At 36.6% G+C, this 22,079-nt stretch overlaps 1 protein-coding gene across 3 annotated transcripts; it reads left to right on the top strand.

Moving 5' to 3' along the window:
• Positions 62-19,365, top strand: VCAM1 (vascular cell adhesion molecule 1). Of its 3 annotated transcripts, none has more exons than NM_001078.4 (9): positions 62-244; positions 796-1,071; positions 3,340-3,660; positions 4,944-5,210; positions 9,427-9,702; positions 11,518-11,838; positions 12,738-13,004; positions 14,822-15,088; positions 18,443-19,365. In NM_001078.4, the coding sequence occupies exons 1-9, from the start codon at positions 181-183 to the stop codon at positions 18,601-18,603; spliced, it is 2,220 nt and encodes a 739-aa protein (NP_001069.1). In that variant the 5' UTR covers positions 62-180; the 3' UTR covers positions 18,604-19,365. The 3 variants fall into 3 exon arrangements, with proteins under 3 accessions (NP_001069.1, NP_001186763.1, NP_542413.1); NM_001199834.2 differs by having other exon boundaries at positions 796-885; NM_080682.3 differs by lacking the exon at positions 9,427-9,702.

Raw genomic sequence — 22,079 nt, forward strand, 5'->3', positions numbered from 1 at the left:
GGATTTCCCTCCGCCTCTGCAACAAGACCCTTTATAAAGCACAGACTTTCTATTTCACTCCGCGGTATCTGCATCGGGCCTCACTGGCTTCAGGAGCTGAATACCCTCCCAGGCACACACAGGTGGGACACAAATAAGGGTTTTGGAACCACTATTTTCTCATCACGACAGCAACTTAAAATGCCTGGGAAGATGGTCGTGATCCTTGGAGCCTCAAATATACTTTGGATAATGTTTGCAGCTTGTAAGTTATTTCCCTTCATCTGTTTCAAATGTTAGCATTCAATTTTAGCCCTGGTTTTGGCTTCAGTCAGTTTTGCGATAGTAGTGAAGTAAAGACACTAGGATTTTAAACAGTAGGAAAAGTTAATTTAGTCTAACTTTTAATATGCAATTGAGTTTTGCTATATACCATTGTACTGTCATAGTTAGAGCTGAAAATTGATGTTTTTGGTATCTTTTTTTCCAAAGGCAATTGAGTAATTTGGATTCTGTCTCTAGTCGGTCTGTCTCTTTAGTTTCCTATACTTGACAATGAGGTCAAACTTAGCAAATAACAAAACAGCTTTGATAAATGGGCATCAAGGTTGGAACTGAGAATTCTCTCTACTGAAGATGATTCCATAAACTTTTTTGGCAGTGACTTCGGTGCTTTTTGGCTACCTTGCAGTTAGTTTGAAGCAGCTTAGGAAAGAGATCAGTCTGATCATATTTTAGACATTATACAGAGAAGAAGGAGGAGAATACTAGACAAACTAGTGGTAAATTTGCTTCTGTCTTTTTTTGCTTTTGCAGCTCAAGCTTTTAAAATCGAGACCACCCCAGAATCTAGATATCTTGCTCAGATTGGTGACTCCGTCTCATTGACTTGCAGCACCACAGGCTGTGAGTCCCCATTTTTCTCTTGGAGAACCCAGATAGATAGTCCACTGAATGGGAAGGTGACGAATGAGGGGACCACATCTACGCTGACAATGAATCCTGTTAGTTTTGGGAACGAACACTCTTACCTGTGCACAGCAACTTGTGAATCTAGGAAATTGGAAAAAGGAATCCAGGTGGAGATCTACTGTGAGTGCTTTAGAAAATCTTTGTTTTTCTCTCAATTTTACTTTAAAATCACTTTTTAAAAATGATATTTTAAAAAAAGTTTTAAAATGGATATTCATGTACAGATTCTTGGCTAAAGAACATACAACATCAGGAAAGCTAGGGACAGCTAAGGCCAACATGAGAGAGAGCAGGAATCCAAATCTTGGCTTCTATTTCTACCTCTGCCACAAACACAGTGACCATGTATAAGACTCAACCTCTCTGGGCTCTGGTTTCCTTAGCTGTAAAATGATCATTTCTAAGTTTCTTTTTGTTTTATTAAAAAATATTTCCATTTGATTACATCCTTACATGTTTACTTGCTTATGTGTCTGATTGATTTATGAATTCCATCCTTCAGGGATTTTCTATTCATTTATTCTTATGCAATTTGATGCTTAAAATTAGTTTAAACATTAAGTAGATCTATAATTAGTAATATGTATTAGTATAAAAGTGTTCTTCTTAGACATAATTGTTAATATCTGGAAACATTTCAATCATTTGACTTTGGTGTTGACACATTTAGGATTTTTTTTTGGTTTTTTTGGTGCCATGAAGCCTTGGTGCTCAACCGCTCAACTTCAAAGATATTTATATAATGAACTAGATTTGCCTCATGAAAGTGAGTGGATGTCCCTAGTTTACCAGCCTGACAAAATGCATCCCACTCCATTCTCCATTCAGCAAACAAAGTTAGCAAGAGGAGTAAAAAACTAACCAGACATAAATCATTTGCCTTTTGTTACTGATGGCCTCTCTTTCTAAAAAACTGAACCCATTTACGGTCATGTCTTCATGAAGACCTCATTTGATTATAATTACTTTGGTTTCGTTTTATTGTACCGGAGCTCAACTTTTCCCAGTAACCTTAATTGATTCTGCAACAAACCGCATGTGTTGCTCAAGCTTCCCAAGAAACTGTGCTTGGCCGGCTGCTTTCAATTATGCTGGTTGTATGTGCATAGTTTATGTCTGTGCAGCCTCCCGAGCTCCTTGAAAGCTTCCCTTATGTAAATACAGGGAAAAGTAGCAAGTTCTTATGTTACCTGACATCGAACTGTGTGGATTAGAGGAACATTTCTTACAGAATATGAGGGACAGAAATTATTGCTGGAAAAATGAAAAATACCATGTTTCTTCACATAGGAAAGAATTTCCAGCTCCTTTGTCTTTTGCCCACTAGTACCAAATAGTTGAAGATTTAAGAAAGAGAAATGAAGACGCTTCTGGTTTTAATTATCTTGCCTGAGGTTTTTCTCCAAGAGTGTCTGTTTCTCATTATGTATAACAGTTCTGTCTCCTTTCCGCATTTGATTGTAATAGTGGTTAGAGTTGAGACCTTTGTATTCTTTTTGCTACACAGTTTTGAATCCACCAATATGTTACTTCATCATAATGCATAATGAAAAAGGTAACTCTTGCAAAGGAGGCAATGGCCACGTGAAGTAGTGTATTTCCTTGTACTAGAAGCTTCAATGGAACACTTGTTGGGATAGTGAGTTAGGCATTTCAGGAGGCAAATATGTGTTCCAGAACATAAAGATTGCACAAATGTATCTTTCTGGTGGATGAATTCCTGTCAGAGGCACCATTTTCAGAAGCTAATTACTTAAAGTTGGTCTTCTCATTTCTTAGAATATCTTGACAATAACTATTCTTTGCAATGACATTCCAAGGCTTACAGTCATTATCTGTAAAATGGAAATATATCTGCCCTGACTATAATAAGAAAATGTGATGTAACATAATGTAAATCTGTAGTAGCAAAACACAATAATGGAAATCCTGAGTTTAAATCCCAGCTTTACCATTTACTAGGTGTGTGACCTTAGACAAGTTATGTAAATGTACTAAGTCCAGGTCTTCTTTTCTGTGAAATGTGATCTCTATCTCCTAGAGTTATTGTGAGGATAAAATGAAATCATTCATGTTAAATCTATAGCACAGTGACAGCCACATGTAAGGTTCAATATAAACATTATTTTTTCTTCTTTCTTTTACTGTAATAACATGCAACTCTTAATATATACAGGATCAGAATTGAATAATGTTGTAAAAAATGTTTGCTTCCAATTCTTGTGCCTTGAACTCACCCCAAATCATGAAAGGCTATTCAAACAGTTCTGTCGTATTAAGACTGTATTAACAAAAACGCTAGACTTGATTTGTATTGTGTTAAAGTGGTAAGAGACCTTATATCACATTAGCAAAAAGCCCATCCATGTATTTGTTTGGCCTTTTCAGCTTTTCCTAAGGATCCAGAGATTCATTTGAGTGGCCCTCTGGAGGCTGGGAAGCCGATCACAGTCAAGTGTTCAGTTGCTGATGTATACCCATTTGACAGGCTGGAGATAGACTTACTGAAAGGAGATCATCTCATGAAGAGTCAGGAATTTCTGGAGGATGCAGACAGGAAGTCCCTGGAAACCAAGAGTTTGGAAGTAACCTTTACTCCTGTCATTGAGGATATTGGAAAAGTTCTTGTTTGCCGAGCTAAATTACACATTGATGAAATGGATTCTGTGCCCACAGTAAGGCAGGCTGTAAAAGAATTGCAAGTCTACAGTAAGTACTTGTGCGATGTGTTCCAGTCTTTGTGGGAATCCCACCTTGGTTGTGTATAGCAATAAACTTAGCAGAAAAGTAAAAAAAAAAAAAACTTGTATATAGTTTGTATTCCATTTGTATTCATTCACAACATAATGTTTGTCAATAGTATAATTCAGTGAAAAGAACACTGGATTTGGACTGAGAAGGCTTGAGCTTAATTTCTGGCTCTATTAACTGTGTGAGTTTGGGTTACTTAATTTCTCTATTTCCCAGTGTATAAAAGGGGAATAGTAATACCACCTGATTGGGTAGTGGGAAATAGGCTCAAATGATAAAACATTTTAATATTGTTTTGTAAACTCTTATAGTATGCCTTGAACTATTAGTTGCACAGGTACAGAAACTTGACAAGGTGATCACTTATTCTGTGTGTGTATGTGTGTGTGTGTATGCATATGCACATACATACATAGGTGCACTGGACAGGGGAAAAATGACGGGGTTTGATTGCCTCCAATCTCCCTGATACTGCCAGGGGATTTGTGGGAGTCTTGTAGTCCCAGCGTTGTGTAGGAGTGGCCTCACTGTGCTCTGTTCTGGACTAAAATGCTATGTTCTGCACTGGGTACCACATTTAAAGGGAGTATTGCCAACTACGGCATGTTTAGCTGAAAGAGAATGAGCTGGGAAGGCTTTTAACAATATTTTGAGAAGAATAGTCAAGATAGAGGATATTTTTCTGAAGAGAAAACAAAACCTGGCTGGAAAAGACATCTAATTAAGCATTTGAAAGACAGTTATATGAAAGAGTGATTTACCTTATTCTGTAACAGCACAGGGCTGAATTATGGCCAATATGTTTAAAATAGTATAGAGAGAAGATTTCAGCTCAATAGGGAGAAATGTGCTAATATGTAGAGCTGTCCAAAAATCAAATTGACTCTTTTGGAAAGCAGTGGGTTGATTCTCTCAGTAAATGTTGAAGCTGACTTGAATGGGCACTTGGCAAGAATGCTTAAATGGGACTCTTACCCTTAAGTGGGAGGTTAAGCCACATGGTTTTTCTTAATTTCTGAGTATCTACAACCATCTGAAAAATATGAAACATCAACTAAACTTGATCAGTTTAGTCAGAAACTGGATAGACTATTTTGAATGATTCAGCAGTTCTTTATACTAATTTGGCAGAGTAATTTCATCAAATTGGTGGAAGCACATAAATACTAAGAGAAATACATTACCTCTGTTGCACTGGGATGATGCTTAGCAATTGCTAATATTATTTTTTGCCCTTTCAGTATCACCCAAGAATACAGTTATTTCTGTGAATCCATCCACAAAGCTGCAAGAAGGTGGCTCTGTGACCATGACCTGTTCCAGCGAGGGTCTACCAGCTCCAGAGATTTTCTGGAGTAAGAAATTAGATAATGGGAATCTACAGCACCTTTCTGGAAATGCAACTCTCACCTTAATTGCTATGAGGATGGAAGATTCTGGAATTTATGTGTGTGAAGGAGTTAATTTGATTGGGAAAAACAGAAAAGAGGTGGAATTAATTGTTCAAGGTGAGTAGAATGTGAAAAAGGAATGATAAAGGTGCTGTCAGTGGGATTTGAGCAATAGTCAACACAGCTTCAATGCTGAAATTGCTTCCCTTAGTTTCACTGATGACCTATCTGATTGCCATATCCTTTAGCACAAATATATGTTTATCTTACTAGTACTCTGTGGAAGTCTTCCCTCCCAGAGTTTCCATGGCTCTGCTTTTCTGATTCTTTTTCATCTCATATCACTTTTTCTCTGCTTCATTCCCTCACTTTCTCTCTTCCTCCTTCCCCTTGGATATTGGTATTTTCAAGTTTACACCCCTGGGTCCTCTTCTGTTCTCACACTAGATTCCCAGGAATTGGACTACAATATGTTGATTACTCCCAAATTCATGTTCCAATTCCATGCTGTTAAATCCTGTCAGTTCTACCTCAAAATGCTCCCTGGAATATGACCTCTTCTTCACCCCACTTGCCATTGCCTTAGTTTATCATCTCTCACTTGGGCTCCTGCAAGATATTCTTACATAACAGCATTCGCTAAACACCAGATAGGTTTCTGGCACTTTCCATATGCCATCCTCAAGAAATAACTAAAAAGTAAGTATTTTGTATTCATTTTACAGATGAGAGAGTGGAATCTCCCAGAGATTAATAATGACACCACCTATTGATTGTACACCTAATATTTCCCAGGAATTCTGTATTCTGCTTTATATATTTTATCTCATTAATCTTTACCACAACACTATTAAAAACCCAGGCTCAGCATAGTTCATACTTTTCCTGGGGCTAAATAGCTCTTTAGTTGCATTTACTATGATTTTGATGCAGGTTCATTTTAATGAAAACCCCTTTGCCTTTTTAATTTTATAGCTAATTGTCTTTATTATTTCTTTTTTAAAATATTTTTAATTGATAAATCATGATTGTATACATTTATAGATTACAATGTGATGTTTGGTATAGGTATACAATGTAGAATGATTAAGTCAAGTCAACAAATCCATTGCCTCACTTGCTCTTTTGTGGTGATACATTTGAAATTCACTTTCTTAGCTATTTTTAAATATACAATATATTATCATTAACTATAGTCATCATGATGTACAATAGATCTAAACAACTTACTCTCCTGTCTAACTGAACCTTTGTATCCATTGACCAACATCTCCTTGTTCCCTTCCACTCCTCGCCCCAGCCTCTGGTAACCACCATTCTACTCTCTACTTCTATGACTTTAGAAGTAGATCCCACATATAAGTGAGATCAGGAGGTACTGGCTTCTCTGTGCCTGGCTTGTTTCACTTAGCATAGTGTCCTCTGGGTTCATCCCTTTTGTTGCAAATGACAGAATTTCCTCTTTTGTTTTTTAAGGCTGAATAATATTTCACATATTTTATGGCTAATTATCTTTAAATAGTCTCCCTGCTAAGATTCTGTCCCTAATATAATCAATCTTATGCACTGCTCCCAGGGTTTATTACCTTAAACAAAAAGGTGCTCATTTTCTATAACTTCCATCACATTTCTTAAAACTGTCACACAGAACTCTTTATGATCTGGTCAGAAACTACCTTTGCAGATCTGTTGATGACTCAGTGCCTCTGCTTACGCTGTTCCTTCTGCCTGAAATGGCCTTTCTCCTTCCTTCATCTGGCAAAATCTTAGCCATTCTCCAATATGAAGCTCATGTCAGCCTCCCAGTTCCAGACTGTGTCAGACCAAACTACATATTCTTTCTTTCGTGTACACTCAACACTCCTTATAGTCATGTATGCTATTCTGTTCAGTTCAACAAATATTAAGAGCCCTTGTCCAAGAATCCAAGAATTGTACTTGGTACTGGGGGTACAGATATGAAAAAGATATGACAACTGCCCTAGGGGAGCATACAAACTAGGAAGGAAGGACAGGCATATAAATAGGTAACGCAAATATTCCTTAGTAAGAGCCAAAATAATATATCTTTTTAAATGTGTCTTTCCACTAAACTGTAAATTCCTGCTCCGGGCACAATGGCTCAAGCCTATAATCCCAGCACTTTGGGAGGCTTAGGTGGAAGGATTGCTTGAGGCCAGGAGTACAAGACCAGCCTCGGCAATATAGTGAGACCTCCTGTTTCTATTTAATTTTTAAAAAATCTGTAAACTCCTTAAAATCAGGAATTCTGTGTGTGTGTGTGTGTGTGTGTGTGTGTGTGTGTGAATGTTTGGATTCTTAGCACAGTACCTAACACATAATAAATGTTCAGTAAATATTTGCTGAATTAATGAATAGATTATAAACATGGGCAGCATAGTCTTTTGTTTGTTTTAGGAAATGAGATCTTGCTATGTTGCCCACACTGAAGTCAAACTCCTAGGCTCAAGTGATCCTCCCACCCTAGCTGCCTGAGTAGCTGGGATTATAGGCACGTGCCACTACACCCAGCTCAACACAAATTTTTAAAATGTGAAAACATGGTATTTAAACTTGGATGATTAAAATAAAAATCAAACTCACCCTAAGTGGATTATCTCGGTTGGATGTTAGGTTAGCATTCTCAAGTGACCAGGAAAGATATTATACTAATAAAAGTGTGTAAAGCTAATCATTCACCCTGGAATAATGTCACTCCATAATAAACTGTATCCTATTTAAATGTACAAAGGACATGTATTTTGGGGCTGGGGAGAGTTGTTTTGCACTTTGCATCACATGGGATACTACTGGCCTAAAGTACTGAAAGTACTTTCAGAGAAACCTTCAGCTACCTAAAAGAGTTACTCCTCCAATGGTTCCAAGTTCACATGGCAATACATGTGGCCACTGTAAAGAATGACTTGAGAAATGTTCACAGACAGGCAGTCGATCTGTTTTTTAAAGTTCCTCATTCTCACACTAGCATATAAAAAATTCAGAAGCTCTGGTTGTTTTTGTGAATGAGCTCTCTTTCAAAATCTAATAGCATATCAGTTTATTGAGGAGAATCTTCTTCAGAAAATACTAAGATGTCATAATTAGACAAACCTATTGAGAAAAATAACTTATGGCATAGATGAGAACCATGCAAAATATAATATGTTTGGATTATTTATATATTGAGATTTCTTTCTTTTACCTTAAGCCTGTAATTTACAAGTAAGATTTCAGTGATTTTTATGGGGGGGTCTTATCTGTTGCTTTAAAAGTTGCCCAAACACTCCCAGTTTCTTCAGGGAAACAGAGCCAAGATGTGGTGTTCCCTTTCTCCCTAAATAGCAGTCATCCAAAAGAAGCCCATGCACCCAGCCGGGATAGCGCTGATGGCCAAAGAGCATTCCTGGATATTTGAGTCTTAGGAGTTTGCCCTCACATCTCGGCTTTCAGACCCTGAATTAATTGTAAAGTATTTTTATATTGCATCAGGCAAATTTTGGAGGTGACTTATGTATCATTTTAATGCTTAGATTTTGACTTTGATTTCAGGATGATGCTATGTGACTTTCAGTGGTATAACTGTATTATTGGAACAGAAGCTCTAAATGCTTGTCCACTGTGGGCATTATATCTAATTAGAAGACATTTTTTGTAGCTTTTTCCAGTACCTCTTTTAGACCATTTTATCACCATATGAGGATGACTTGATTTAGTTGTTGTAGCAACTGAAAAGCTGGGATCTTGAATCAGACCCACCTGGCATCAAGTCCTAATTTTGCTACTTGCAAACTGGGCAAAGTTATTTAGCATTTCTGAGCCTAAATTTCCTCAAGAAGAAAAAGGAGGGGGAAAAGGAGGAAGAGAAAGAGTAGAAGCAGAAAGAGAAGGCAAAGAAGAAAGAATAGTACTAGTGTACAAAATTGTTGTGAGGATTAAATGAGAATATATATATATATATATATATAGTAATTTAGATAGTGCTTGACACACAAGAACCACTTAAATTATTTGAGTGATTGTCCACTCTTACAGTGATTTGATAAACTACATTTGAGCAGATACTCTATTATTGCTGTGAAGAGATAGCAACCTCTCTTGACAAATTTTTATCTATTCAATTTGTTAAATGAATGAATCAACAAACTATCGTGGTTTCATTCTTAAAAGATGTGGGCTCATTTCTGATGGTCCCAAGGTGGAAAAGAGTAATTTCTTCTTGGCATGGATATTAGCTGAAAGGAGATCAGGAAAAATAAAGATCATATGTCAGAATGTGATGAAAAAAGAAAAGAATCTTATGTTCTTTTCATCTTGTTTTCCACCTGTGTCCCAGAGAAACCATTTACTGTTGAGATCTCCCCTGGACCCCGGATTGCTGCTCAGATTGGAGACTCAGTCATGTTGACATGTAGTGTCATGGGCTGTGAATCCCCATCTTTCTCCTGGAGAACCCAGATAGACAGCCCTCTGAGCGGGAAGGTGAGGAGTGAGGGGACCAATTCCACGCTGACCCTGAGCCCTGTGAGTTTTGAGAACGAACACTCTTATCTGTGCACAGTGACTTGTGGACATAAGAAACTGGAAAAGGGAATCCAGGTGGAGCTCTACTGTAAGTGGTTTTCAGAATTGTTTACTGTTTTTTTTTTTCAGTTCTATTGGAAGAAAAAGAATGCAAGTCTGTGAAGTGCAATGAAATCCTTATGTTTAGAAAAGGAATTTAGCCTTGTGAATTTTGTTCCTAAATCTGAATCAGAATGGTTTGATGCAATATAATTAGCTTAAATCTTAAATATATATTACATATGTACACAGCACCCACAATCCTTGGTTTATGCCTTGTCAATACTCTCTCATCATGCACTTGAACACACTCCATGCTGGAGGTGAGTGCATTGGGGTCAGTGCCCATTCAGAGGACTGGGTGGAGGTGACTACTGTTCAGCTACTCCAGTTGGGAATGAGTAGTTTTAAACTGTTTTAAGGCACTGTTTTAAAGGCACATTTGATGAGCTGTCTGCAGGATGGGAAAAAAATAAGGGAATAGGAAGCAGAAGGAAGCCAAAATTAAAGATAAGAAGTTAGATTGGGGATGGGGATGGTCAGTGTCAGTGGCTCAGGTGAAAAGCAGAATCAGGAAGCAGCGCTAGATCTTAATGTTGATTTATGCCACCTACATATACTACACTTTCTCTCACTCTTCTTTTGTCTTAATAAACATTCTTTGCAACCTCAAATCTCTATGAACTTGACATTGCTGGAGTTCCTCAGTCCATATTGAATGAAGAACAAAATATGCAAAGTGACCATAAAGTTATTTTTTTTTGAGGGGGTCACTCTGCCTTGTTTTATTCAGTAGAACTCAAGAGAACATATCGTAGAGATTTTCTACCAGAAACCCTGCCCAAACTTGTGTTACCCTTCAGGATTTTGTTCAGAATGAGTTAGAGTATGCCTGTAAAGGGATTTGGGTCTCTCCAAAGAAAGATAAATTTTATTTGCATTATCATATTACCCAGAGTCCATGATCTGCTGAGATAGGCACATTCCCAGCAGAAATGAGAACCAGCAGTGGGGTCTTATTGCAACATAGAAATATTTGAGCATGTATCACTTTAACAACATTTTGGTTAAGGAAAAAAATGTTTAAGCATTATTCTTGCCCTTGATAGCTATCTTAGTCTCATTTTACTGATTTGTACTGTATTATAAAGAATACAGTTAAGGCAGTTCTTGATTACAAGTATTATCTGAGAAATATTTAAAACTTGCTGCCTAAATTTGGTCATTAAAATTTAAACTAAGTTGAGAACTTCCTTGTTTGTCTTATTTGATACTGAGAGACTGCACAGCTCTGTAAAACCAAAGCTGGGCTCTGAGGTCAGAGAAATATGGATTTGCAGCCCATCTCAGTGACTTACTAGGTATAATGTGTGAAGAAAGTCTCTTAGCCTCTATATGTTTCAGTATTCCTGGCTGTAAAATAAGTAATACTCATTTTACACAGCTGCTTTGAAGACTGAGATAATGAATATTAGGGGACTAGTTTACAATAAGTATTCAACATAACATGGCAAATTTTAAAATGTGAAATATATACTTACTAAATAAGATGGTGGAAACTGATGTATACTTAGAAAAGGTCAAGCCATGGCACACAGCAAGATTGCATATTAAGAAGAAAAGAAATAAGTGAAAATTTATTACTCAATGACTGGATATACTAAGTAGTTTTTGTTTCTAACATTATTCATATATAATATCATAAATATGTCATTTATAAATACTGTCATTACTTATATATTGACAGTCATTCTATCCCAGGTGACTTAAAGCTGTCATTTTTAGGCCTTTACATTTAATAAAGCTTAGCTCAATTTTTCCTTGAATATCAAGAATAAAAATCGTTTTTGCTTGCGATTTGCAGCATTCCCTAGAGATCCAGAAATCGAGATGAGTGGTGGCCTCGTGAATGGGAGCTCTGTCACTGTAAGCTGCAAGGTTCCTAGCGTGTACCCCCTTGACCGGCTGGAGATTGAATTACTTAAGGGGGAGACTATTCTGGAGAATATAGAGTTTTTGGAGGATACGGATATGAAATCTCTAGAGAACAAAAGTTTGGAAATGACCTTCATCCCTACCATTGAAGATACTGGAAAAGCTCTTGTTTGTCAGGCTAAGTTACATATTGATGACATGGAATTCGAACCCAAACAAAGGCAGAGTACGCAAACACTTTATGTCAATGGTAAGTACATATGTGAGGTATCTACAGTTTAATACCTGTCTCTTTATCGTGTTTGCCAGGCAATAGTTAACATAAGGTTAATCGTTAAAACCTCTGTGGAGAAAAAACGTTACTGAAAAGAAATTTCAAAATAATGATGATTGTAACAAATCACCCTCCCTAAACTTAAAATAGTAACTATTTACTGGCTTATGATGCTTTGAGTAGGCAATTTAGGAAGGGACCAGCTAGGCAGTTATTCTGTTCAATATGGTATTAGCTGAGCTCACTCGTGCATTTTCAGTAAGGTTAGCAGGGCTGGCTGGTCTCAGATGACTTCACCCACATGTCTGGAGCCATATCTTGGATGACTTGGCCTCTCTTTCTTTATGTGGTGTCACCCTGAGGAACAGTAGCCTAGATTTACTCTCCAGAGCTCAGTGTTTCAAGAAGGTGTAAATGAAAGCAGCCTCTTCAAGGCCTGGGTTTGGAAGTCCTACAGTGTTACTTCTTCTTCCACATTCAATTGGTCAAAGTGAGTCATGAGGCCAGCCTAGAGATTCAAGGGGTGGAAAAATAGACCACATCTTTTCACAGAAGGAGATTCAAATAATTCACAGTCATGTTGACTCTACCATAAATGGCAGTACACACTATCATTGACCCTCGTCATTCTTTGGTTGCAAGGAAGTGTATACTGAACTTACTTCCATTAGAAAACACCATGACGTGTCCATGTTCTACTCTATCATTTGGTATCAGCTAAAGTAAATGAGGACCAAAACCTCTTGTGGTGAATTATCAAGGTTTACAAACTCTTTGAGTCTGCTGAATCCATAGCCCAGTTTTGCAACATTATTAAAACTCTTTGGAACTCAGGGCATAATAGGTCAAGCTAACAAGCGTCTCTGCCTTTTCAGTTGCCCCCAGAGATACAACCGTCTTGGTCAGCCCTTCCTCCATCCTGGAGGAAGGCAGTTCTGTGAATATGACATGCTTGAGCCAGGGCTTTCCTGCTCCGAAAATCCTGTGGAGCAGGCAGCTCCCTAACGGGGAGCTACAGCCTCTTTCTGAGAATGCAACTCTCACCTTAATTTCTACAAAAATGGAAGATTCTGGGGTTTATTTATGTGAAGGAATTAACCAGGCTGGAAGAAGCAGAAAGGAAGTGGAATTAATTATCCAAGGTGAGCAGAGTGTGAGTAATGAGTTATCCTTGCTAGTAATGTTTTTGGTTATGTTACTGATTATGAGTAAAGTCTTTGAAAACAAAATTTTTACTACAAAAGTGTGATGAGGGTTTTGAAGAGTTTATGATGTTTCCAATGTATGGAGAAATCTCCTGAAATTGTCTTTTCTCATGAATTGTTACAAGTTTCTTATCCTGAGATTCTTTTAAACTCAAGTGAAATGCAAGCCTTCAGGACCTGTGTCAGAAGTTCCAGTTACACTTATGAGGCAATGGTTATGGTATTGAAATAAGAATAGGAAGAGGAATATCTGCATTTGGGATTATGTAGGATTAAAGCTACCATATCTGGCTGAATTGAACTCTGAGTGGCAATCTCACAAGATGGCCAGTAGTATTTGCTTAGAAGCCTAAGCTGGCACTTAAGTCTTTTGCAAATTCTGAGATTATGAGTAGCCATGACTCCGTCCTTTGGTTCATCAGCCTGAGAGCATGGAAGCACTAAAGTAGATTAAGTCAACAGATCTAGGCCCCTTCTCTTTAGGATGGAGACCCAAGATTGAGAACAAGACAATTATTAGTTCGCAGGTTGAAGCCATACGGAGTTATGAGCAAAATCATCAGGTGATCAATGTGGATTTCCTCTATCCCATCCCTTTTGGGTATCAGGGTTCTTTTCTTTGCCAGGGTTGTCATTTTGTCTATTACCCCTTGGCATTATTCCCACTAAGATATTAGTGACTTTCTTGTTATCTCAACTCAATAAGATTTGTATTTTAGAAGAAGAATATTGGAAAGACAATACACATCCTTAAAAAACAGACAAACAAACAAAAAAACCTTTTGGATGGTTGTCATGACCTTGGATGGGGAAAGAATTTCAAATCAACTTACAAAATAGAAGACCTTAATAGGGATTAAAAATTGGTGATATGGTACCTGCCTCCAGTGGTTGTTGCATTAATAGAGATGTTATATGTCAAGTACTTAGCTCAGTGCTTGGAACTTAATAAATGGCAGTAGTATTGTTAAGGATAGTGAAAAAGCCACATCTGTACAGCTTAACTTCTTGATTGAAGAATCCAACTCAAAACTCAGAAACCTGTAAAGGCCTTTGTACTTCAAGGAAATTTTTTCAAAACAGTATTACAAAAAATTAAGTTTCTATTTCACATCTGAATTCTATAGCTCTTTATCAAACACTGTATTTGTCAATTTTCACACTGCTATAAAGATACTACTTGAGATTGGTAATTTATAAAAGAGGTTTAATACAGTTCCACATGGCTGGGAAGACCTCACAAAATGTGCAATCATGGCAGAGGAGAAAGGGAAGCAAGGCACACCTTAACATGGCGGCAGGCAAGAGAGAGTGAGGAAGTGCCACACTTTAAAACCAAAAGTTCTCGTAAAAACTCATTAACTATCATGAGAACAGCATGGGGGAAACAGCCCCCATGATCCAGTCACCTCTCACCAGGTTCCTCCCTCAAAACGTGAGGATTACAATTCAAGTTGAGACCTGGATGGGGACACAGAGCCAAACCATATCAAACACCTATTCTTTGTGCTAGGCTGGGTAAATAATTATATTAAGGAACATGAAAGAAGCATAAGCCATGTACTCTCTTAGTTAAAACATGATCATTTCCAACAATCCAGCAATGCTTGACTTCTTTACTTGCCCTTCTTAACATTTAATGCAAACGCTAAGCACAAATAGCTCCAGGGAAGCTATTGTTGATGTCGCTAAATTAATATGGAGTTGGTTTATATTTCACTCAATCAGGGATGTCTTTTAAATTCTCTTTACAGTTACTCCAAAAGACATAAAACTTACAGCTTTTCCTTCTGAGAGTGTCAAAGAAGGAGACACTGTCATCATCTCTTGTACATGTGGAAATGTTCCAGAAACATGGATAATCCTGAAGAAAAAAGCGGAGACAGGAGACACAGTACTAAAATCTATAGATGGCGCCTATACCATCCGAAAGGCCCAGTTGAAGGATGCGGGAGTATATGAATGTGAATCTAAAAACAAAGTTGGCTCACAATTAAGAAGTTTAACACTTGATGTTCAAGGTGAGTTTGTTTTGAGTTTTTGTTTTCTTGGTAATAGTTCAGAGGTTCCAAGGATTACTAAGAGTTTCCAATATTTGATGAATGAGTTGGCAAAATGGAGCTGTGGTTTATTTCTTAAGGATTCTTGGAAAAATCAAGCACAGCTGCTTTATCCTATAAAGTTTAGCCAGGAAGTTGACATTAATCATTCGTGACTGAGGAATTCCTGCTTGCTTTTTTCAGTTTACAATTTATCATTTGTCTCTGAGGTCTTGCAGTTGCTAAATGTTTAACCATATTTTCAAACCTTTTCCCGGGAGGTTATAAGGAAACTAAAGAAGTAGGATTGGCACATTGAAAAAGAAGGGTTCTATCCAGACCCTCTTCCTTTCTACCAGAAGGAAACACTATTTTCTGAACATGGAGTAACTGCAATTTTCTGGATTGACTCTTTTCAGGATAATAATTGGGAATAGTAAACTTGATCCTGAACAACATAAAAAAATCTCTCGACTATCGAAAAGCCTCATTAAAATTCCAACCCACTTGCCATCCTACTCTATTCTGGTGGACAGAGAAAGAGAGGAGCAGTATCCTCATTGGAGAAACTTCAGGGGCCCCTTAATCTCCTAAGCCCTCTTGTGAATGCACAGTAGGTAGGATCTGCTGATCTTATTGGTGTAAACAAAATACATCAGCCTTGGCTGATCAGTATCACACCCCTTGCACACCAATTAGCTGCTATTGTGTAATGGAGGCCATACTTGGCGGTGGAGTGCAAACAGGACTGCAAACAAATGCCAAGTCTTAAGAGGTCTGGCACTTGGCTATTGGAGTGAGCAATCACTTGTCAATGCAGAGAAAATTTGAATCTACATCAGAAACAGGTAAAATTTTTGTTCGTCTACCCAAATTTCTCAAAATGGCAAGCCTTACCGTATGTATGTTTTCCATCTTCACAGTACCTCCTCAAAACATGAGAATAGCTGTATAGCTATACATCCATCTAGAAATGTTAAAGAAGGGGAAAACATCACGATTATATATGAAACTTCTAGTCATCCACCTGCAGTGATTATCCTGAAAAGAATTGATCTAGCCAATGAAGTTACTATGTGTTCAAAGAAGGGAACATTTACTTTGTATCATGTCACTCAAAATGATTCAGGGGTATATGTAATCAGTGCTTCCAATGAGGTTGGGGATGATTCTGGACAGATTGCAATCTCAGTTATGAGTAGGTTGAATTTACTCATCCCTATTTTCTTTAATCCTTAATGCCTCTGGGCCACCTTTAATTAAGCCTAGCCCTGGGAAATTGGTCCCCTAACATTTCTGTAATTCTTTTGTTAATTAATTGTGACCTTTTAAAGACACATCAAACCTGCTTCTCTACTTTTTGACTCTGTCTCACACACATTGCTTTATTTTCTAATTGCTTTATCAAATTAGCCACTTACACAGTTGCTACTTTTTACTCATTATTTAAATGAACAATCAAAGAATATTAAGCGCTCAGCTAGAAACTCATGCCCCCAAACTGAATATAGTTTAAACTAGCTAAATTTTAATGAAGACCAAAAAATGGATATTTTTCTGGGTATTTTGAACTAGATTTCTTTTGCATTTGGCTGGATTTTTTATTTGTTTCATTTTGTCTTAGCTTGAACGTATTCCATTAATAGAAATCATCAGGATTTTTAAAAGATATTCAGTGTTTATATGACAAATAGAAAATTGTATTTGAAGGTTGCCCTGGCAACTACCTTGGCAGCAAATTTGTATTTTTCTGCCAATGCCTGTGGGGAAGACTGAAAGGCAAAAGATAATGTATATTACATTGAAAAGAAAGAAAGAAAAGAAATAGAAATAGTATTTCTGTTTCTCAGCATGTCATCAATATTGATGCCTATCCATAATCATGTTGATGGACATCCCATTCAAATATTACCTTTATACTTTGACTAGCTCAGCTCTAGCAAGGGAAAGTCAAAAAGTGAGACAATTATCATTATGCTTAGGGTGAACTGTTTTTCTTCAATAATTTGAAAAAGTGACTTCACATTATCTGATGCTCGTGATTCTTTTTACTTGGTTGACCTCCAGTGATTAGAAAGCTCTGGAAAGAATGTAGTAATCACCAAAGTCAGATCTCTAGTTTCTGCCAGGACTGAGACAATGTATATGCCACTTAGTGAAACTTAATACTTGTGTGGTCACATGATGCTGTGCAAAGTATAAACAGGAGTGAGTCTTCAGTAAATGACACACTATCTTCTTCAGCTGCTCTTATAAAGTTAAGATGTTAAGCAGTATAGCAGCTGTCAGATGATTTTTTAGCAGATTAGAAAGAATACTAATTTTAAAGTTTTTGTATGCTGTTACCTACTGTACTCCATTTACAACTAAGTGGCAAAAGCAAAATGTAGAGAGAAAAAAATGTTATTAGTGTTTAAAAAATATTGTTTTTGGTGCCAACTAGGCCAAGCAGTGAGTCAGGTGCTGGCTGTTCAGTGATGGACTAAAAAGAAAATAGATATACATGTCTTGATGTAATTTTTAGCTTAGGGGAGGAAACTAAACTTAATAAGTAATTACATGGATAAATGTTTAATTAAAAGCTGTAATAAGGGTTTTGAAGGGAAAACGAGTGGGTTTTGAAAATATATTGAGGTTCTTAATTTAGAATGAGGGAGATATAGATTAGAGAATGCCTCTAAGAAACATTTAAGCTGTAACATAACACTGTCCAAAGAACTCTAGTTTATCAAAAGATGATATAAATGCTGAAGAGGAAAAATGTATTAATATGCCCTATTTCTGACATAAAAAACATAGAAACTTCTGTATATCTCTGAGAAAGCCATTGGCAAGATTTTTTTTTTCTCTTACGATCTTATTTGTGGCATTTAGCTATAATGGTCACACTCTGAATATTATAAGGATTTTCTTAGAGAACTGGTTAGTCATTTCAATTCATGGTCATCAGAGTCCCAGTTCTTTAGTAGATATTTTTATTTCCCCAAGCAAGTGCCTCTCTCCAATTCCTGTTCTTGCCTCTCTCCAATTCCTGTTCTTGTTAAAAACTTGTACCCTCCCTTCCATTTTACAACTGAACCTGAATCTATTTGAATCCAAGTTTGTGGAAGCCAACAACTATCATCTTTAGATCCATCATGACCATAGCAACCACCAACTGATTATTTGGATAATTCAGACAAACATGCATCTTGGGTCCTGATGGTCCTTATCACTGCTTTGATTCCCTTCTCTTTGGAGAACTAGTTGTACTGTTATAATAAACATGTAACTGTTGTTATTAAATGCTATCTTTTTGTACTAGACATTAATTGCATCCATTTTGTTATTTTCCAGGAAGAGAAAACAACAAAGACTATTTTTCTCCTGAGCTTCTCGTGCTCTATTTTGCATCCTCCTTAATAATACCTGCCATTGGAATGATAATTTACTTTGCAAGAAAAGCCAACATGAAGGGGTCATATAGTCTTGTAGAAGCACAGAAGTCAAAAGTGTAGCTAATGCTTGATATGTTCAACTGGAGACACTATTTATCTGTGCAAATCCTTGATACTGCTCATCATTCCTTGAGAAAAACAATGAGCTGAGAGGCAGACTTCCCTGAATGTATTGAACTTGGAAAGAAATGCCCATCTATGTCCCTTGCTGTGAGCAAGAAGTCAAAGTAAAACTTGCTGCCTGAAGAACAGTAACTGCCATCAAGATGAGAGAACTGGAGGAGTTCCTTGATCTGTATATACAATAACATAATTTGTACATATGTAAAATAAAATTATGCCATAGCAAGATTGCTTAAAATAGCAACACTCTATATTTAGATTGTTAAAATAACTAGTGTTGCTTGGACTATTATAATTTAATGCATGTTAGGAAAATTTCACATTAATATTTGCTGACAGCTGACCTTTGTCATCTTTCTTCTATTTTATTCCCTTTCACAAAATTTTATTCCTATATAGTTTATTGACAATAATTTCAGGTTTTGTAAAGATGCCGGGTTTTATATTTTTATAGACAAATAATAAGCAAAGGGAGCACTGGGTTGACTTTCAGGTACTAAATACCTCAACCTATGGTATAATGGTTGACTGGGTTTCTCTGTATAGTACTGGCATGGTACGGAGATGTTTCACGAAGTTTGTTCATCAGACTCCTGTGCAACTTTCCCAATGTGGCCTAAAAATGCAACTTCTTTTTATTTTCTTTTGTAAATGTTTAGGTTTTTTTGTATAGTAAAGTGATAATTTCTGGAATTAGAATGGTTGTATGTTTATTTATTATAAACTGCCTCCTTTAGTCACATTGTAGCTCTTTCTGAAGTGCTAAGTTATAAGAGTAAAATATTCAAACTATGGAAATAATACGGATACTCAAAATGTGACCCTTAGACTACTATTATTAAAATTACTGTAGGAACTTGATAAAAATGTAGATTTCTTGGTGCCAGACTAAGATATTGAATAGAAGTGTCTAGTTTTTGGTCCTTGGAATCTGCAATTTTTTAATTTAGAAAAATATACATAAAAAGATTTAATGCAGATGAACATGCACATGTTAATGGGCAACAAATGAACACCTGTGTACAGAACATTAAGAGCAAGAGATAGTAAAACTATTCTTCAGAGCCTTTTATATACCACATAGTGATGGCAGCACTCTTCCCTCACTGAGCAGTAACCCATAAATATTGTGAATCATACATTGATCATTTCCATGCTTCCTTTGGAGTTTTTTTTTTTTTTTTTTTTTTTGAGACGGAGTCTCGCTCTGTCGCCCAGGCTGGAGTGCAGTGGCGCCACCTCGCATCTCGGCTGGCTGCAAGCTCCGCCTCCTGGGTTCACGCCATTCTCCTGCCTCAGTCTCCCTAGTAGCTGGGACTACAGGCGCCCGCCACCACGCCTGGCTAATTTTTTTGTATTTTTAGTAGAGACGGGGTTTCACTGTGTTAGCCAGGATGGCCTCGATCTCCTGACCTCGTGATCCGCCCGCCTCGGCCTCCCAAAGTGCTGGGATTACAGGTGTGAGCCACCGCGCCTCGCCCCTTTGGAGGTTTTATACCTGTCTATGTATCCCTAAGTAGTACATTACTTAGTTTTGCCAGATTTTGCATTTTATATAAATACAATCCAATTATACATTTGCCTTGTAACTATTCTTTCACTCAAAGTTATGTTTTTCATAATACATTTGTGTAGTTATAGGTCATTCATTTTTCTCCACTTGGAATGGATTTTTTTTAACTTTTAAGTTAAGGGGTACAAGTTTAAGTTTGTTACATGGGTAAACTTGTGTCATGGGGGTCTGTGTTGTACAGATTATTTTATTACCCAAGTATTAACCCTAGTACCCATTAGCTGATTTTCTTGATCCTCTCCCTCTTCCCACCCTCCTTCCTCCAAAAGGCTCCAGTGTGTGTGTTCCCCTGTATGTGTCCATGTGTTCTCATCATTTAGCTCCCACTCATGAGTGAGAACATGTGGCATTTGGTTTTCTGTGTTAGTTTGCTAAGGATAATGGCCTCCAGCTTCATCCATATCTCTGCAAAGAACATGATCTCATTCTTTTTTATGGCTGTATAGTTGGAATGGATTTTTTTATACAACGCAGGGTGGGTATGAAACAATTGTCCCTATACCATTTATTGAAAAGCTAATTATATATATGAATATATATATTTATATTCATAAATTAATATATATTTCTTTTTATAAATGTCTCTTGATTATTCTAGTTTTTGAACTTCCATATAAATTTTAAAGTCATTTTGTTAAGATATAGAACAAAAAATTAGGATTTTTAACTCAACTTATATTGAATATATAGATCACTTTGAATAGAACTGATATTTTTAAAGCATTGAGTCTTCTAATCCATGAACATAGTTATTATTTTTAGACTATCTTTGATGTCTTACAGAAATGTTTTTTTTAATTTCATAAACGCCTTATTCCTTTTAAAAATTTATTTCTATGGAGTTTGGATTTTTATACTATTATTCACAGTATCTTTAAAATTATATTTATTTGGGGTATAACTTTCATACAATAAAATTCATTAACTACCACCACAATCAAGAAATGCAACTTTTTTTTTATCACTTTAAGATTTCCATCAGGCTCCACTGCAGTGAATCTCCCCACCCACCACCTCCTCTGGCCCTTGGCAAAAATCAATCTGTTTTCTGTCACTATACTCTTGCCTATTCTAGAATTTTATATAAATGAGATTGTACAGTATATAGTCTTTTATGTCTGTCTTCCTTCACTTAGCTTGACTCTCCTGAGGTTTATTTATGTCATTATGTATATCAACGGTTTGTTATTTTTTATTGTTAGAGCATACCACTGAATGCTTATGGTAAAGCTTATTTATCTAGTCATCAGTAGACAATTGGGTTGTTTATGATTTTTGGCTATTGTTAATAAGTCTGGTATAAATATTTAAATGCAGATATTTATGTGGATATGTGAATATATATATATATATATATATATATATATATGGAGAGAGGGAGAGAAAGAAAGAGAGAGACCTAGGATTTTGGTCCCAGTTACTCTACATCTACATAAACACTTGGCATTTGTATTTTAAATTTTTGCCATTCTAGTGTTGGGTCATGGTATCTTACTGTAGTTTTAATTTCCCAATAACTAGATTGATCATCTTTTCATATATTTATCATTTTTATATATCTTATTTGGGGAAACATCTATTAAAACCCATCACCCAAATTTTTATCAGGTTGTTTGTCTTCTTATTGAATTCTAAGAGTTCTCTTATATATTCTGAATAGAAATTCTTTATGGAATATACATTTAGCAAATGTTTTCTTTCAGTAATTGCAGTGGCTTGCGTTTTCATTTTTTTTTTTAACAGTGGCTTTGCCTATCCCAAGGCAACAAAGATTTTCTCATTCATTTTTTTCTAGAGGCATCATACTTTTAGTTTTACATTTATGTCTATGACCCAATCC

Source organism: Homo sapiens, chromosome 1 (genome assembly GCF_000001405.40).
Source record: "Homo sapiens chromosome 1, GRCh38.p14 Primary Assembly".
Classification (NCBI taxonomy): Eukaryota; Metazoa; Chordata; class Mammalia; order Primates; family Hominidae; genus Homo; species Homo sapiens.

Excerpts from the sequence above, each read along its gene's own strand:
- VCAM1 (NM_001078.4), top strand. The coding sequence starts at position 181 with ATGCCTGGGAAGATGGTCGTGATCCTTGGAGCCTCAAATATACTTTGG. Across the intron at positions 245-795 it reads TTGGATAATGTTTGCAGCTT|CTCAAGCTTTTAAAATCGAG; the intron begins GTAAGTTATTTC and ends TTGCTTTTGCAG. Across the intron at positions 11,839-12,737 it reads GCAAACACTTTATGTCAATG|TTGCCCCCAGAGATACAACC; the intron begins GTAAGTACATAT and ends CTGCCTTTTCAG.